Source organism: Homo sapiens, chromosome 4, assembly GCF_000001405.40.
Source record: "Homo sapiens chromosome 4, GRCh38.p14 Primary Assembly".
Classification (NCBI taxonomy): domain Eukaryota; kingdom Metazoa; phylum Chordata; class Mammalia; order Primates; family Hominidae; genus Homo; species Homo sapiens.
In genome coordinates, this window is record NC_000004.12 from 102,894,602 (window position 1) to 102,914,499 (window position 19,898).

Below are 19,898 nucleotides of genomic sequence, written 5' to 3' on the forward strand. Positions count from 1 at the left end.
AAGAAAGGTAGAAGATCTATAAGAAAAAAACTATAAAAATGTTACCAAAAGCTACTGAATAAGAAACACATGAGGCTAGGCGCAGTGGCTCATACCTGTAATCTCAGCACTTTGGGAGGCTGAGGCAGGAGGACTGCTTGAGCCCAGGAGTTCAAAACCAGCTTGGGCAAATTGTGAAACGCTATCTCTAACCAAAACAAAAAGCTAGTTGGGCTTGGCGCATGCTTATAGAACCAGGTACTTGGGAGGCTGAGGTGGGAGGTTGGGGCTTCAGTGAGCTGAGATCCCACCACTGCACTCCAGCCTGGGTGACAAAGTAAGACCCTGTCTCAAAAAAACAAACAAAACTCTTGTAAAAACATAAATCTAAAATTATATATAAATTCAATTAAATTCACATTAGAATCACAAAAGCATTTTAAAATTGGATTAAATTATCTTAAAGTTCATGTAGAAGAATAGTCAGAAAATTGTTCCAAAAAAAAGACTATTGAGAGGAACTTTTCTCAGCAGATATCAGCACCTACTATAGAACTATTGGAATTGATCAATTAAGAAAAACAATTGTATTAAGAATAAGCAAGAGTGGTAAAAAATTGAGAATCTACATGTAGATGAAAAATTAATATATGAAAATAAACAATTCAAAGAAAACAAAATTGGACCCTCAATTTACACTGAAGGCTTTGAAGTGACACATAAAATGATTTTTTAAATGATTTAAATACGTACATAAATGGAGACAGGAAGGGTGGGAGAGAAGCAGAAGAGAAAGAAAATAGAAGACTAAAGAACAGGAACACCTATGTGGAAAAAGGTAACACTTAATGACAAAATATGTTTTATGTGAATATCAGTTATACATAATAAATATTGGGGACATTGCCTTGTGGGTTATAATAAAGCATTAAGAAACAGAGTAGTGAACAAAAAAAGGAAAGAAAACTACCAAATTCCATGTATGATACCCCATTTTAAAATTACATAAATTAAATGTGTACACATAAGAAAATTTTAAACATTAAAATTTTGTTAATAAAACAGATTTGATAACACGAAGGCCAATGATGACCTTACCCACAGCAGTTTTGTTTAAATGGGGACTAAGGATGGAGCAAAATTTTTAGTAGAGCACTTTGAATAATGAATTAGCAAACTATAATAAACTGAAATCTTACCTACCAAATAATCTCAGTAAACAAATCTAAAAGAAATGAGTAAAACAATTGTGAGCAAAAAAGGATAGAGTCACTACATATAATGTAAATGAGACAAGGATGGCCTCTGTGTATTGGTGCCTAGGTTATTTCTTCACAGCAAGCTGAGACCCATTAGCTCAAAAGCCAACTGGCAGCAAACTCAAATTTTTAAACATCCAATTGTGTTAAACATTGCCCAGACATGCAGATTTGTAGGCATTTAGAGCCTGCCTGATTTACATGCCCTGGGAAACTGTGTCCAAAATCTGCCTGCCACAGATAAACCCTAGGCTGTAAAGACCCCAGGCTGCTTCTGCTCTTTGGAACTCTGTGAACTATAGACTCCATGCCATGCTGCTGAGTGATATCACTGAGACATGAAAGCCTCCTCTCTGATCCTTTCCTCCCTCAGGAGTTCCTTTGCCCTCCTCCCCTTCTGAGTGGTGGCCCCCTTGCCTCAATCCTCTGGTCCATCTCTTGCTGTGAAGGCCTTCCCCAGGATACAAACCTGACGAGATCATCCAGATAAAGCCCATGTGTGCTTCTGTCACATCTTTTTCTATATTTTTCTCACTTTTTTCTAAACTTTTCTAATTTTTTCTTAATTTTTATAAAATTGTGGATACCTAATAATGTAGTCTCAAAATAAATAAAGCCAAAATTAGAACTGGAAAGAGCAATAAAAAAATCCACAAACATAGTGAGAGATTTTAACAATTCATTTTTAGTAATTGAAAAAATAAACACTGCACAAACTTCCCGAGGCTCCACCCCGTAATCCCAGTGCACAGGTGGGCATTATTCAGAATCAGTGGGGAAAGGGCGGCTTCAACCAGGACCCGCAGTCCAGTTTATCTAACAGCCTTCAGGCTGTTTTAGTCTTGAAGGTGGGGTTTTACCGGGGGACCCTTGGTTGCCTCCTGTCTCTATCACTTTCACATTAGGTGCTTTGTGGTGAAAATGGTTTCAAGGGTGATGGCATTGTACATATTGAGACACAGAAGCAGCTGAAAGTTCTATTAAAAAATGAAATGGATGCTTCTAAATGACAGCAAAGTCTTTGTTGGATTAAGTCTTGTAAACAATGAGAAGCAGAACTCAGAGTTAAAAAGTTCACCAATGTTTACAGGAAGATTTTTGGAGAAGACATGGATGGTAGGTGCCTTAAAGATCTCTTTGGCAAGTTGGGATCTGTCTTAAGTGTGAAAGTAGTGGTTAATGAAAGTGGAAAACCCAAAGGTTTTGGATTTGTCAGCTTTGAAAGGCATAAAGATGCGCAGATGAGATGAACAGAAAGAAGCTCAATGGAAAACAAATTGATGTTGGTCAAGCTCAGAAAGAAGTAGAATGGCAGATGGAACTTGTGTGCAAATTTGAAAAGATCAAGCAGTATAGGATCACCAGATAACAAAGTGTTAACATTTATGCAAAAAATCTTGATGGTATTGATGAATGTCTCTGGAAAGAACTTTCTCCACTTGGTACAATCACTAATGCAAAGGTTATGAAGGATGGTTGTCACAACAAAGGGTTTGATTTGTGTATGTTTCTCCTCTCCAGAGGAAGCAACTAAAGCACTTTCAGAAATGAATGGTAGAATTGTGGGCACTGAGCCATTGTATATAGCATTAACTCCATGGGAAGAAGAGCAATGAAGAGCACCAGGCTCAGCTCATTAACCAGTACAGTATGTGCAAAGAATGGCAAGTGTAAAAACTATGCTCAACCTGGGAATCAGCCTCTATCAGCCAGCACCTTCTTCAATTTACTTCATGGTAGTTATCCCACAGACTGACAGCCATGCTGCAAAGTATTCTCCTAGCCAAACTGCTCAACTAAGATCAAATCCTCCCTAAATTGCTCAGGGTGCCAGACCTCATCCATTGAAAAATATGCCCAAGCCACTCCTAGCTCACTACATTTAGTAGTAAGAGACCAGCTTCTTCACAGCTTCCACGAGTCATGTCAACACAGCTGTTGTAACACATCAACACAGACAATAGGAGCACATTCTGCAGTTGCCGCTACTGCTACTACAGATACTCCTGCTGTTTGCACCATTTCACAGTATAAATATGCTATGGAAGTTCACAATCCTCAATGGCAGTTTCATGCACAGCCCCAAGTTACCGTGCAGCAGCCTGCTGTTCATGTAGAAGGTCAAGAACCTTTGACTTCCATGATGGCATCTGCTCCTCCTCAAAAGCAAAAGCAAACGAGTGAATGGCTCTTTCCTCTTCTTCAAGCCATGCCCTAGTCGTGCTGGTAAAATCATTGGCATGTTGTTGGAGATTGGTTATTTAGAACTTCTTCATATGCTTGAATCTCCAGAGCCTCGCTGTACTAAGGTTGACAAAGGTATAGCTGTACCACAAGACCACCAAGCTAAAGAGGCTGCCCAGAAAGCAGTTAATGGTGCCACTGGTGTTCCAATTATTTAAAACTGATCAGGGACCACAGAAAGAAACTTGCGCATCACTGAAGAAAAAATCTCAATATCAAAAACCTTAAATACTATGGAAAAAATTTGTAAAGTATAAAATAAATTTAAAAAGGAAACTTTGAACTTTACATACCAAGCAAACGTCAGATCTAACAAATGCAATGATAGTCCTAGATTACTTACTGATTTGAAAACAAAAAATCCTCCCAAAATAATAAAATATAAAAATGCTGCAATGCTTTTCAGACTCTGTGATAAATAATTTTCAGCAAAGTATAAAAATTTAAAGCATTCCTTTAATTTTGTAATTCGTTAGTGTGGAATAGCTCAGAATGTCACTTCTGTTTTAAGTAACAGAATTGATAACTGAGCAAGGAAAGGTAATTTGGATTATAAAATTTTGCTTTAATAAAAATTCCTTAAACAGTGAAAAAAATAGGCAAAGATACAAAAAGTTGATAAGAAACAACAATCTTGTATTTATTTGTTATTTTATTTTTTTGAGACGGAGTCTCGCTCTGTCACCCAGGCCGGAGTGCAGTGGCGTGATCTTGGCTCACTGCAACCTTTGCCTCCCAGGTTCAAGTGATTCTCCTGCCTCAGCCTCCCGAGTAGCCGGGACTACAGGCACCTGCCACCACGCCTGGCTAGTTTTTTGTATTTTTATTTTTTTTGTTATTTGTATTTTTGTATTTCACCATGTTAGCCAGGATGGTCTCCCTCCCCTGACCTCATGATCCACCCGCCTTGGCCTCCCAAAGTGCTGGGATGGTGTGAGCCACTGTGCCCAGCCTTATTTGTTTAAATACTATAAACACTAATATCATACACATGGTTAACTGGTTGTAATTTTTAAATTATATTAATAAATTTTTATAAAAACTTTTTATAAATAAAAAACTTAAAATTTCAAATAAATAACAACATCTGCCACACCACCTTAAAAGGGCGACTATTTCAGTATAATAAACATATATCACAGACACTTAGAGAAAGTTCAATAAATAAAGAATAAAAAGAATAGTTACAACAATTTTCCTCCTAATCAATAACACAATTCCTCATTTTGAAAATTATTTATCTCTCTTTTATTAAAATAAACTTTCTACTTTGAAATCTAATCCTCTTGTGAATGTAAAATACTATCTTGTAAATATATATATATATATTTTATTATTATTATTTTTTGAGACAGAGTCTTGCTCTGTCTCCCAGGCTGGAGTGCAGTGGTGCGATCTCAGCTCACTGCAACCTCTGCCTCCTGGGTTCAAGCGATTCTCCTGCCTTAGCCTTCTGAGTAGCTGGGATTACAGGTGTGCGCCACCACACCTGACAAATTTTTGTATTTTTAGTAGAGACGGGGTTTCACCATGTTGGTCAGGTTGGTCTCGAACTCCTGACCTCGTGATCTGCCCATGTCGGCCTCCCAAAGTGCTGGGATTACAGGCATGAGCCACAACACCCTGCTTATATTTTTATTTTCTTGTAAGTGACAATGAGATGCCCTCATGATTTAAATAGTAGTCAAAACACTGGCACAGTTTAAATTTTTAGAATTTGAGTACTAGAATTACAATATTTGAAAATGGAGTCTGTACTTTGTTGTAAAACTATAAGGAGAAAATGTCACTAAAATAGTAGCTATTTTATCTTTTCCCAGAGTTATTCTCCCAGAGTGTATTTTCTAAGAGTTATTTCCCAGAAGGTTTTAGAACTTCTGGCAGTTTCGGTGATATATTCTGTAAAAGCCCTTAGTCTTAATAGGAATAACACATAGTTTTGATTGCCTTAAATTTTAATTGCTTCACTTGGCAAATTTATGTGTAAATGTCATATTCTGTGGTATTTTAATACCTTGCTTGTGGAGAAGAGGAAAAAGAGGAATGAAAGTAATATTCAGTCCTTGCATTGAGCTTTTGCCAAAGAAGTCTAAACAATTTCTAAGATGCCATTCAATAAGGCCATTTTAGAATCGTTTATATGACTCTTATAACTTTAAAATAAAGAGTCTTGAAGTTAATTAAAACTCACTTTGCTTGTGATGGGTTCTACATTAACATGGCAGATTTAATCAGCCAGAATTAAAAGGTAATTCTATATTACTAAGGAGAAGAAACTGCCACATGACAGCAGTCTCCAAATCTTTCATTTTTGGAGGCTGCCTTTTATGCCTAGATTTTAAAATACTAATTGAAAAAAATATAGTTTACTTCCATTTGTGATTTAATTTTATTTCTATAAATAAAAATATAGATAGTGTTTCATCTAAAAACTGCTAAACCAGACTTTCATTTTAAGGGCATGGCAGAAGTAAGGAAAGACTAACTTGGTTCTATTACTGAACATATTATTTACTCAGGTAGTCACCAAAACCAGAATTTAAAATCTATTTAGTTAACCCATTTAAAGTTGATGTGTTTTATTCCTTTTCTTTCTTTTTGTGGTGATCTTTTTAACTGAATTACTGGACATCATGGGAGTTCTACTCCTTCTATTTGGAAACTTAGGCTATCTTACCAAGTTCAATATTCAAAGTTTTTCTTTCTGCCATTAAGTTTGTTTAATTTTATATTAAGCTCAGTTTGTATTATGATATCAAATTCAGCCTGAGGGATTACTTTAAACTTTCCTAGGGTATTTACAGATTTAATTTGTTCTTACAGTATGTAAATACCAAGAGAGCATTCCATTTAATATTATTTTTATTAAATTAACTTTGGAGTAAAAAGTCCAAGAAAAGCCCTGTACTGAAATCACATGTTTACTAAATCCTGGATTCTCTGTACAGTCCCCACATATTTCTACTTTAAAATTCTTCTGTCATGTGAAATAATTCATTAAAAGAAGCAGGCAGATGATGACAGGTAAACTTTTTAATGATGTTCTAATGTTGACAACTGCAGTTTTATTTTGCTTGGATCATAATGGCGTGTAAGCATTTTAGGCCCCAGAATGCCCATAAGTAGAGCTCCATTTGGAGCTGTGATCAAGATGGCTAAAAATGCTACTGTCATCACATCCTTCGCATATGGTTCCAAGTGGGGTGCGGAGACTCTTGCTGTTTCTAGAGCCAGAGGACCTAACACAGCCTGCATTTAGGGGTAAAAATGGGGCATAAAGAAAAATATTAAACTGAGTTGATATATAATGTAAATGGCTCTGTTAAAATAAACAAAATCTAGTACTAGACTATTAGAAAAAAAAAGTACTCAGTAATTTTCATAAGTTACTCATCAGTTCCATGTTCTTCCTAGCAAATATATGTGGAGGAAGAGTACAATAGTGACAAATCAGCAGGCAAACATTTTTGGGCTGATTTTGCACTCTTGTCCTCTCAGTGTTCCTCTATTCGAATATCTCTTTTGAGTGTTCATGTTGCCCTCATAACACCAGGAGTTCTAACGAAACCAGTTTTGCTTAGTTGCCTTTACCGTGTGCAAGTGGTTCTTGACTACAACAAGACAACATAAAATACTAAGGTTTCTTATGGTTCTCTAGGATTTGTTGCCCTTCTTCTCATTGTTCTCCCTATTCAGGGGGCACTGTGTTATAGCAGAACTGACAGCAGGCTTGGAATCTAGCAAACCGGGTTTGAATTCTATTTTTGCTGCAACCAGGCTAGTGACCTTGTACAAATGACTCACACTCTCTAACCTTCTACTTACTTATGTGTAAAATGAAGAACAAAATACTTATCTTACTGAATGGTTGTGAAAATTAAATATGAGAATGCAAAGAACAGCTGGCACACAGTAGGTATTCAGATAGTAGTAAGTTTCTCTCTCCCTCACTCCTCATGCCCTGCCAGGTCAGAGAATGAGTTCCTTTGAAGTTTTCGTTTTAGAATGACTGTACTGGGTCACAAGTTTTTTTCCCTAGTCACCTTCTACCACATTATTTTTAATAACATAAAGCAAATTTCTTGCTAACCCTCTTTCTTTGTGTTTAATAATCTAGGCATGAAATTGCCTTAAAATTTTGGGGAATTAAATACCAATATATAACATATTTTCTATGGAGTTGCAAAGTAACAACATAATGGTGGAAACATTACCTCTGATATGGAACATTATGGCAAAAGAACCCCTCAATTTAAGATCAATTTCTATATCCTAAATCAATAATTTAAAATGGTATCATTTTTATATCGTAACTTTTAATGTACTGAACGTGAGCCAGTGTGCTGGAGGATGCTAGGGAGAAAAAGATAATCATGCAGAAAACCAACTTGAAAGAATCTTACAGTTTAGAAGAGGATTTGAACATAAAAGAACTTCCAACAGAAAAAACAAAAAACAAAAACCAAACCCATTGACTTTTAAGAGATGATTATGATAATGGTGAAACTAGAAATAATATTTATATAGTTATATGGCATTCATCATATGGCAGGTATCATTCTTAAAGCTTTCCATTTATCAATTCATTTAATTCTTACGACAACCTTATTATGTGAGGACTTTATTAGATGATAAATGATTTCCTCCTAGTGACTGAGATTTAATATTATTTCTTTAAAAGAATCCAATTGCCAAGCTGATCTTACATTTGTAAACTAAATTATTTATTTACTCTCCTAATAGCTTCATTTTTCCACTCTAATTTTTATCAGTAACTCGAAACTGAAGAACAAGAGAAAGAGCTGAACCTTAGCCAATTTTATGTTAGCAGCAGAGAACGGTGGAAGAGGATAAAGGTGAAAATAATTTAAAATTGAAATTTAAATATTTGTTGATCTTATTTACTTGTGACATTATCGTTATCTATTATTGCTGTTGTGACTCTACTTGTATAAATAATTAATTTTTTATGTCTTGCCAGTTCCTGGAACCAGCTTGATATTCTTTGTGTAGAAGCTAGCCTGAAGCCAGCAGACAGGAATAGGCAGAAGCAGAATAATACTGCAGGACTCGAGTGAGTGGTCTCTTTCCTCATACCTGCTTTTCTTTTTTCCCTGCTTTATGAAAATTATGAAATAATAAAACAAAATTGCGAGAGTATTGTTGGAAGGAGAGAGAACAGATACTCCTTTTGTAGATTTATTATTCCCTACAGTAGACATTAAAAATAAAAAGTTATTATTTATATTACTTGAAGGTAAGATAAAATAACAACATTGTTAATTGAGCACCACCATATGCCAGAGAGAGTGCTAAGCACTTTACGTGGATTATCTCATTGAATCCTGACAACACTGCTAAGAAACAGATACAGTCATAGACTTCATTGTAAGATGAGAACACTGAAGGACTGAGAGATTAGAAAATAATTTTCCTGAGGTTATAGGCAAGTAACATGGTATTCAAAACAGGTAGTCAGGCCCTATGAACCTGCTTTTCTAACATGATAATAGAGGTTTTTTTTGCATGAAAATTTAGGAGCTTCTGTTTTGGAATAACAACTAAGAAAAGAGCCACAGGAAATTAAGGTATATTATGCTGCCAAGTTAAACAGTCTAACAATAAGTAGCAATATATTTTAGGAGGAGGAGAATATCCTTGAATAAGAGGGCAAAATTACAAGGTTTCCCTTTCTGTTCATTCATTCTTGCAGGCATGCAATACACATTTGGCTCCTGCATGTCAGGCACTGTGTTAAGTGCCAGGGAGAAATAATGAAAAACAACTGCAACAACCAGACACTGTCCCTGTCCTTACGTAGTCTATCAAGGGGGCAGGGGCAGGGATTTAGCCATTAACCAAATAGAATACAAATAAATGTGTAATTAAAAACAATAAATGTGCATTTGTGTGATGGAGTGAGTGGCAAGGTAGGAAAAGTATTTTTTAAAAAATCAATGTGTCTCTATTTTACTTTACTTTTTTTTTTTTTGGAGACAGGGTCTCATTTTGTCACCCAAGCTGGAGTGAAGTGGTGTGACCTCAGCTCATTGCAGCCTCAACCTCCTGAGTTCAAGCAATCCTCCTGCCTCAGCCCCCAAGTAGCTGTGACTACAAGTGCGTGCCAACACACCTGACTAATTTTTTTGTATTTTTTGTAGAGACGAGGTTTTACCATGTTGCTCAGGCTGGTCTTGAACTCCTGAGCTCAAGTGATCTGCCTGCCTCAGCCTCCCGAAGTGCTAGGATTCCAGGCATGAGCTACCATGCCTGGCCTGTGTCTCTACTTTTTAAAATCATAACATTTAGCTTTGTTATATTCAGCAAAATATAAAAACTCCAATTTTCAGATATATTCTTATTATATATTTTAGGAAAATAAAAAACATTTTCATAAACTTAGGAAGTACTTATTGAAAGAATACTTTTTAATTTCAAAAGAATTGCTTTTAAAACTGAGATTTAAAAAGGTTACATTGGCTGGGCCCAGTGGGTTATGCTCATAATCCCAGAACTTTAGGAGGCTGAGGCAGGAAGATCACTTGAACCTAAGAGTTCAAGACCAGCCTGGGCAACATAGCAAGACCTCTTCTCTACAAAAAAATCAGAAAAAAAAGACCAGGCGCAGTGGCTCATGCCTGTGATCCCAGCACTTTGGGAGGCTGAGGCGGGTGGATCACTTGAGGTCAGGAGTTTGAGACTAGCCTGGCCAACGTGGTGAGACCCCATCTCTACTAAAAATACAAAAATTAGCTGGGTGTGGTAGTGTGCACCTGTATAATCCCAGCTACTCAGAAGGCTGAGGCAGGAGAATCGCTTGAACCTGGGAGGTGGAGGTTGCAGTGAGCCGAGATCATGCCACTGCACTCCAGCCTGGGCAACAGAGTGAGACTCTGTCTCAAAAAAAAAAACAATAAAAAAGCAGTTGGGTGTGGTGGCAGGTGCCTGTGATCCTAGCTACTCAGGAGGCTGATGTGAGAGAATTGTTTGCGCCCAGGAGGTTGAGGCTGCAGTGAGCTGTGATCATGCGACTGCACTCCAGTCTGGGTGACAGAGTGAGACCTGGTCTCAAAATGAAAATAAAAATAAAAATAGAAAAAGATTACATTAAGGTTCTTTGTTTTTGTTTATTTATTTATTTATTTATTTATTTTTTTGAGATGGAGTCACTCTGTCGCCCAGACTGGAATACAGTGGTGCCATCTCAGCTTACTGCAACCTCCGCCTCCTGGGTTCAAGCGATTCTCCCATCTCAGCCTCCTGAGTAGCCAGGACTGGTTACGTTAATTTTAATGAATAGTTATGATCAATCAAACATTTAAAAAGTAAGGATAATAGCTCATATTTTGTGACTAGAGTAACATTTTTCATTTTAAATTTTAAAAGCATCAAAATGAAAGCATTAAGCAACAGGCTTAATATGTTCTTACCTGTACTGTAGCTTTGGGCATCCATGCTAAAGCAATAAATATTTTCTCCTTAAAACTAAAACCAGCAAAGCACATCAATAGATATGTGGTTAAAATTCGAACACATAATGCCAAACTTAGAGTGGCAACAGATATGCCTACAACAGATGAAAACAAACATAAATAACAAAATATTTGTGAAGAAGTGTTCTTCATGCCCAGGAATATGATTTCTAAAACTTTTGAAAACATTTTAAGGCTATTGTCTCTTCATGTGCTTATTTTTTACATAAAAACAATGATTATAAAAAATGAATATGATGGAGGATTCTCTGTAAAGTGCAAGAGAGTATCTGATGGTGGAAGTACCATGAAAAATAAGACAGATGACATTTATACAATTCTGAACTAATAGACTTCTTTTGAATACTTTTATTATTAATAATAATAATTTATTTTTTGAGAAGGATTCTTGCTCTGTCACCCAGGCTGGAGTGCAGTGGTACAATCTCAACTCACTGCAACTTCCGACTCCCGGGTTCACGCGATTCTCCTGCCTCAGCCTCCCGAGTAGCTGGGATTACAGACGCGCACTACCACACCTGGCTAATTTTTGTATTTTTAGGAGAGAGGGGGTTCCCCATGTTAGCCAGGCAGGTCTCGAACTCCTAACTTCAAGAAATCTGCCCGCTTCGGCCTCCCAAAGTAAGATTACAGACATGAGCCACCACGCCCAGCCAATAGTTTTAAATGAAAGTACTCAAAAAGCGCTGATCGTATCAAATATGTTCCCTCAGGAAAGAAATCTTATATTTATTTCTTCAGATAACTCAGGGAATATATTCAGGGCTGTCCTTGGTTTATAAAAAAAAAAGAGCACCCAGTGTAAAGGAAGAGCAATATGAAAATATGACACTGTATCAACATGTGTTTCTGAAGAAGGTCGTTGTAGCCAAAGATATATTGTAAATAAAAATAAATGTATTTATAATTTTCTTAAATATTTTTGAATTTCATATTTTTTGTGCTCTAATTATTCTTACCAACAATATTTGATTCAAGCGATGAAACAGATACTTCTGCTCCAACTAAACCAAAAAGAAGTGGTTGAAAAATATCCCATACAGTCGTAATAATCTTTTGGACTTTCATCTATAGAAAAGAGAAATACATTTATAATGATTTTGGCACATAAATATATTTCAGAAACTTAAAGTCTTCCCCCCCCTTTTTTTTTTCATTTTTTAAGTATTTTAGAGATGGGGTCTTGCTCTGTTGCCCAGGCTGGAGTGTAGTGGCATAATCATAGCTCACTGTAGCCTTGAACTCCTGGGCTCAAGTGATCCTCTCGCAGTCTCCCAAGTAGAACTACAGGTGTGTACCACCATGCTGGGCTAATTTTTAAATTGTTTATAGAGATGGAGTCTTGCTATGTTGCCCAGGATGGTCTAGAACTCCTGTCCTCAAGTGGTCTCTGGCTGTGGCGTCCCAAAGCACTGGCATTATAGGCATGAGCCACCATGCCTGGCCTAAAGTCATTTAACATTTAATAAATTTAAGACACTTTATTTTAATAAAAATGTTAAACTTAATAAAAACTGAGCACTTCAATAGTTTTATTCAAACACTTAGGTAGAATTTGATTAAAATAAACTCACAAAGCAATAAAATAATACTATTTGGCCATTTTGTCACAGAATAAGTGATGTCCTTAGGGTTCTAGCCATGTTTCGTATGAGTTCCAGATTTTGTCTGTAAAGTAACTGAACAGAGATATAACTACATCATGCCTGATGAGAACATACCCAGTTCATGCAAACATTTGGGTTCTCAAAAGGGGGTTGGGAAGCCCTCCACTAACAACCATCCTGGAACTCAATCCCATTAAAGTGAATCCTGATATATATAGCATATACTACTAGGAAAAACAATTTGGAAGTCTGCTAGGCCTGCTTCCAAAGAACCCATGTTGAATATTTTAAAGTTACTTTTTCCTTAAAACAAAACCAAAACATATATTAGATTCTCATTTAACTGCCTACCCAGCTTCCCTTTCTGGAAACGAATGCCTCCCAGTGCTACTTCCCCAATTAAAACGTTACAGGAAAGGCCCCTATTGGCCTACATTACTCTGGCTCTTCTCCAGGAATTTGGATGAAGAGATTTCAGTCTCAGTCTGGGTTTAACATTTTTTTTTTTAAACAGAAGATACATAAGAACTTTGATGTCTCTTCCTTGAGGCATAAACTATCTTCATAACTATTTCCCTTATGACTGTGTTTTCTGATCCCCACTTATTATAGTTTAAAAAAAGAAAAACAAAGAAAAACAATGTTACTATTCTTTACAGCATAATTATCCTATTTGTTACTTTTAATCTTTAAAACTTGTTTTAGTTCTGTTTCTTTTACCATTTAAAAAAATTCTAGCAGTTTTAATTTTATTTATTGATTTGCATTTCATTCATTTCATTTCTTTTATCATTATGATTATATAAGAATACTAAACAAAATGTCACTATGATTTTTGGTTGGGGAACTTCTCAAGCTGATTCTAAAATTTATCTAAGAAAGAATATGTGTAGGAACAGCCAAAAAATACTTTAAAAAGAAGTATAATCTATATTAGATTTTGACACATAAAACTGCAGTGATTTAAAACAGTGGTGTTGGCATAGAAATAGAGAAGTAGGATTAAATAGACTTCAGAATTAATATATATGGGAGAATTTAGTTCATGTTAAAAAACTGAATTATTAATGAATTGGTCAATAAATAAACAATTTGGCAAAAAATGACTGTCTAGTTTATGTGCATATATCTGTATGTACATATTCATCACATGCAAGTACATATGTGTGTCTGAATATATATGTATATTTATGTGTGTGTGTATAGATATATATATATACATACACACACATCAGGCATGATGTAGTTCTATCTCTGTTCAGTTAACTTACAAACTGTATGTGTGTGTGTATATATATAAATAGTTTGTAAGATACACATATGTATATATGTATAACCTTACCTCACAGCATTCACAAAGATAAATTCCAGATAGATTAAAAGACTAAATGAAAAAAACAAATTAAACAAACAAAAACTACCAAAATATTAAATGATAATATACAAAATAGTATATCTTTGTAACGTTTATATGTTATAATCTTCAGTGAGAAAGTCCTTCTTAAATGAGATGCAGAATCCAAAACCAAAAAAGGAAAACCCAATAGGTTTGGTCATAGGAAATTTTACTTTCATACACCAGACACCATAAACAAAGTTGAAGATAAGCAAAAATTATATGCAATATATACATAACAAAGGATCAGTAGCCCTAAGAGAAACTATAAATTAGAAACAAAAAAATAAATAACCCAATAAAAATGGTCAAAGAAGATCATAGGTATTTTAAAAAGAATATATGAAGAGAAGCTTACTATACTACTAATCAGAGAAATGTAAATAAAGAATAACAACATCACATAATTGTAAGAAACTACAAGAATTGGATGGTGAGGTCATCTAATAGTAAAAAGAATAGAACTAGTGATAATATCAAGTGCTGTTGATGAGTTAAGGAATTAGATATTTTTGTGCACTGTTGGCAGAGTGTAAATAACCAAAATCTTTTGAAGGGATAATTTAGCAGTGTCCATCAAAATAAAACACAGATCATTTCCAGCTAGGTGTGGTAGCTCATGCTTGTAATCCTAGCACTTTGCGATGTCAAGTTGGGAGGATCCCTTCAGCTCAGGATTTTAAGACCAGCCTGGGCAACATAGAGAGACTCTGTCTCAAAAAAAAAAAAAGTCATTTCTAGGACTCTATCCCTATAGATGTACCTGCAATCCCAACATTTTGGGAGGCCGAGGCAGGAGTATCACCTGAGGTCAGGAGTTTAAGACCTGCCTGGCCAACATGGTGAAACCCCGTCTCTACTAAAAATACAAAAATTTGCTGGGTGTGGTGGTGTGCGCCTGTAATCCCAGCTACTAGGGAGGCTGAAACAGAAGAATCACTTGAATCCAGGAGGTGGAGTTTGCAGTGAGCCAAGATTATGCTACTGCACTCCAGCCTGGGTGACAAGAGTGAAACTGTGTCTCAAAAAAAAAGACATGAACAACACTGTTTATGACAGCACTGTTTGTAAATAACAAAAAGTGGAAACGATCTTAATGTCTATAAATAGAATACTGGTTACTTAAAAAAATGTAAGGGGGTTTGATATTTGACAGTGGTGGGGAATAAAGAAATCTTTTACATTTTATTCTATATGTTTTATTCTTTTACAAGCATTTCTATTTTTATTATTTGTTTGTTTATTATTTATTTATTTTTTTGTGATGGAGTTTTGCACTTGTTGCCCAGGCTGGAGTGCAATGGCATGATCTTGGCTCCTGGGTTCAAGTGATGCTCCTGCCTCAGCCTCCTGAGTAGCTGGGATTACAGGTGCCCACCACCACACCACCATGCCCAGCTAATTTTTGTATTTTTAGTAGAGATGGGGTTTCACCATGTTGGCCACACTGGTCTCAAACTCCTGACCCCACGCGATCTGTCCGCCTCCACCTCCCAAAGTTCTGGGATTACAGGCATGAGCCACCGTCCCCGGCCTTTTACAAACATTTTTCATGGATTAATTGTATAATTAAAATTTCAATGAATAAAATAATTAGATTGATAAAGGTAATATAATAATATTATATAAAACTTGGGAAAAAGAGAAGCCTGATGTGATTAACTCAACTTCTGATTCCATATTAGTATATTTCCAGGTGCTTTTCCTAAATATTTTCTTTCCTCGATTGATTCATACACTTTCTTGAGGACAGAAAACCTTTTGGAACATTTTCCAACCAGAATGAGGGGATTTCCTAAATATATGTAAAAAATTCAGTTGTTTTAGCTTTTAAAATATAGCATATTAAAAATATTCACCTTTTCTTGGGACCATTTTGTCCCTGCAATGAAACTCAACACTAGTGTGCATAATCCTCCAGATCCATGTAAACCAATACGTTGGCTGCCTAAGACGGCAGAAACACACATAGTCAAAACAAGGAATCCTCTCTTCAATGTAAGTTTTTTCTAGAATTAGATAGATATTTAGAAATTAGTTTATATTAAATATATAATATAAGATTTGACATTATCTATTATATATTTTTGACCCTCTGATATTATGTCTTTAAATGTTATATTAAATGTCTAAAATTTTGATTTTCTTTCTCACCATATATTTTAGCAGACTTACTACCAAGTAACAAAATTTGCAATTAGTCACGTTTCATCTTCTGCCATATCTCTGATACTAGTATCAGTAATATGGTTAAAGTATTACTATAAGTGAAGAAGAAAAGAGACCCATAAAATCTCCAGTTTCATATAACATATCCAATGAATTCTTAAAAAATATTTGAATATCTCTTTGGTCAATATGTTACAGCTAAATTTGGATGGAAATTACAGAAATACAAAAGTAATGGCATGTTTTCCTTTAAGGCAGGAAATGGCTAAATTTGAGTGTTGCCTTTGTCAAAGGAGAGCAGGAGTGAATTTCAGTCAGAAAATATGCAGAAATAAATGGGGACCTATTTCCCCCTAAAATGTTTAAGGGAAAATTTGGGGGAAATTATCAAACATCAGTAGGCAGTTTAGTAGAGAAAGGGAAAGTATAATTCAGAGGGATACTCTGCATTAAGTATATTTTTTGATATTCCTTATTTGCCAAATTAAGAAGCAGAGACTTTAATCAAAGCCATTGACCTGTATCAATCACTGCTGTGCTCAGTTTTAAGTACAGAGTAGGCATTGGAGGCTAGTTTTAGAGAAATAGAATTAAGTATTAAATTTCATCGACCTTACCAAAGTTTAATATTTTGAAAAAAATGTCTAATACTATACTTCTATAAAATAGATTTTGTATTTACCTGGTCTTCACTTGGAAAATATCGAACAAAAAATCCCAAAACAATTCCTGCCAGCAGACTAATACATACGTTCCTTATAGAGGCTATGGCGTTATTAAGTATACCACCTGTAGGGGCACACAATAAAAAAAAATTCACAAAGAAGTATCTTCACATACACTACACATCAGAAAAGCAAATCTAGGTGGTTCATGAAGAAAAGTAAGCATTTTATAGAACAAATATATGCAAATGGTCTTTTTATAGTGACATATATGAAAACATGTAGATCTATTTAGTACGTTAAATATATACTCTCAAATAATTTAATATATACACACAACTCAGAAATGTCCATTATGTAAATAGGCCAGAAAACAAAGACTTAACAAGCACAAGATGCTCCCCTTACATAGCCAACTTAAAAGACAGAGTGAGGTAGTCCAGGCACAGTGGCTCACGCCTGTAATCCCAGTGCTTTGGGAGGCTGAGGAGGGTGGATTACTTGAGGTCAGGAGTTCAAGACCAGCCTGGCCAACATAATGAAACCCCATCTCTACTAAAAATACAAAAATTAGCTGGGCATGGTGGCACACACCTGTGGTCCCAGGTACTCGGGAGGCTGAGGGAGGAGAATCACTTGAACCCGGGAGGCAGAGTTTGCAGTGAGCTGAGATCGTGACACCACACTCCAGCCTGGGTGAAAGACGGAGGCCACACCTCCAAAAGAAAAAAAAAAAAAGACTAAGTGAGGTACAAGAATGGAGAGAGACCGAAACACTTGTGGCACTTAGCATATGGCTGTTAAGGGCTATATTAACAATTCTTCTTTCATGTACTATATGAAAAAGAAACAAATGATTTTAACATGAAAAGAACAATGTAATAACAACATAAAAAATTTTGTTCCAGGGTCAGTCCTAGAAACATTCAAGGGTCAATTAAGATTTCAGTATATTTAAGTATCTGCTTTTGGTGAAGAAAAAAGGAAAAAAAATACAAAAGATTCCAGTATATTTTATATTCATTAATATTAATATATCCATACTTGTAGTTCATTGTAATAAGTAAAAAACAAAAAATAAAAAAACAAAATGAGTCACAAAAATAGTTCAGTTAAGCTCTGGGTAGTGGATTCAATATAGTAAGTAAGTATATTTTTAGACATATTTTCTACTAAATATAACAGGCAGGGCATGGTGGGCTCACACCTTTAATCCTAGCACTTTGGGAGGCCAAGGCAGAAGGATTGCTTGAGCCCAAGAGTTTGAGACCAGCTTGGGCAACAGAGTGAAACCCCATCTTTACAAGAAAATAAAAAACTAGCCCGGTATGTGGTGTGTGCCTATAGTCCAAGTACTCAGTAGGCTGAGGGAGGAGGTCCCTTGAGCTCAGGAGTTTGAGGCTGCACTCCAGCCTGGCTGACAGAGCAAGATCCTGTCTCAAGAAAATAAAATACAATAAAAATAAAAAATAATATAAACAGAGAGATGTCAGCCAGATGGTGGAATGGGGAGCTCCAAACCTTGATTCTCCATAAAGATACCAACTGAACAACAATATATGGTCTAAAAGCCTTTATGGAGTTCCATAAACCATTAAGAAGCTGTAGTAGCACAGACAAGTGCAAAGCCAAGAATAGTGGCATTGAACAAATAAGAAAAGCTGTTGCATTATACTCATGATACCCCTTCCCCAAGCTGGAACAGGTTGGTGTGGCTGGGAAGCACTCAACTTGCAGCTTCTCCATTAGCAGGGAAAGAGAAGACTGGAACGGAATAGTTTTATGAGGTTACCTGAAGCTCTCTCTCTCTCTCTAACTTGACACCCAACTGGCATACTTTGGATGCGTGGGAGCCACTGGGAATAAAGGAGAGGTCAGAGATGATGCAGCACCAGGGAACCTGCAGTGCCACAGACAGATACCAGAGAGAACAACAGCTCCAGAAAAAGAAACTGGCAAACCTCTACTTGGGATGTTGCAATGTATAAACCCAAAGAAGATGCATTCCCAGAAAAGGTTTGAGAGGCTGCTAGAACCTATAGCCATGCTGATTCAGGTAAAGGTCTTCCGTATGAAGCCAGCTGATAAAAACTGGGAGCAGTGGCAGTTTTTTCAAACGTCCAAATCTTGGCAAAAATAAGTAAAAAATAAAAAAATAAAAAATAACAGGCATAAGAAGAAACAGAGAAACCTGATGACTAAATTAAAGGAGCAAAATAAATCTCCAGAAACCAATCCTAAAGAAATAGATAAATGAGTTACCTGACAAAGAATCCAAATTAACTCTCTTAATGAAGCCCAGTGACAACAGAAATAGATAACTAAATGAAAGCAGGAAATAATTCATGAACAAAATGAAAATATTAACAAAGAGATAGAAACTAAAAAAAAAAAAAAAAAAAAAGGAACCATACAGAAACTCTGAAGCTAAGGAATACAACAGCTCAATTGAAAAATTCACTATTGGAAATCACCAACAGACTGTGTAACTGCCCAATGGGTTCACCTTGTGCCCTGCTTAGACAGAGCTGATTTATCAAGACAGGGGAATTGCAATGGAGAAAGAGTAATTCATCCAGAGCCAGCTGTGCGGGAGACCAGAGTTTTATTATTACTAAAATCAGTCTCCCTGAGCATTCGGGGATCAGAAGTTTTAAAGATAATTTGGCAGGTAGGGGCTTGGGAAGTGGGGACTGCTGATTCATCAGGTTGGAGATGAAATCATAGGGGGTTGAAGTGATGTTTTCTTGCTGTCTTCTGTTTGTGGGTGGGATGGCAGAACTAGTTGAGCCATTATTACCAGTCTGGGTGCACTGGATGAATCAGCCAGTGCAGGGTCTGCAAAATATCTCAAGCAATGATTTTAGGTTTTACAATAGTGATGTTATCCCCAGGAGCAATTTGGAGAGGTTCAGACTCTTGGAGCCAGAGGCTGCATAACCCTTCAACTGTAATTTCTAATGCTATAGCTAATTTGTTTATCCTGCAAAGGCAGACTGGTTCCAGGCAAGAAGGGGATCTTTTCAGGAAATGGCTATTATCAACTTTGTTTCAGAGTCAAACCATGAACTGAATACCTTCCCAAA

At 36.1% G+C, this 19,898-nt stretch overlaps 1 protein-coding gene and 1 pseudogene across 4 annotated transcripts in view; one reads left to right on the forward strand and one right to left on the reverse strand.

Moving 5' to 3' along the window:
* Nucleotides 1-19,898, reverse strand: part of SLC9B1 (solute carrier family 9 member B1) — a 134,657-nt gene that overhangs the window by 9,553 nt on the left and 105,206 nt on the right. For 2 of the 4 annotated variants that reach the window (NR_047513.2, NM_001100874.3), the window contains 4 exons: nucleotides 16,830-16,936; nucleotides 15,838-15,987; nucleotides 11,935-12,043; nucleotides 10,913-11,049 (listed from right to left, as the gene is read on the reverse strand). Coding sequence is in view for 2 of the 4 variants with exons in the window: in NM_001100874.3 (NP_001094344.2) it covers nucleotides 10,913-11,049; nucleotides 11,935-12,043; nucleotides 15,838-15,987; nucleotides 16,830-16,936 (503 nt within the window). In the remaining 2 variants the exon portion in view is untranslated. Of the gene's footprint in view, nucleotides 1-6,326; nucleotides 6,732-10,912; nucleotides 11,050-11,934; nucleotides 12,044-15,837; nucleotides 15,988-16,829; nucleotides 16,937-17,406; nucleotides 17,529-19,898 lie in introns of those variants that run through there. The other 2 variants (NR_047515.2, NM_139173.4) reach the window with 2 other exon arrangements.
* Nucleotides 2,132-4,071, forward strand: PABPC1P7 (poly(A) binding protein cytoplasmic 1 pseudogene 7; annotated as a pseudogene).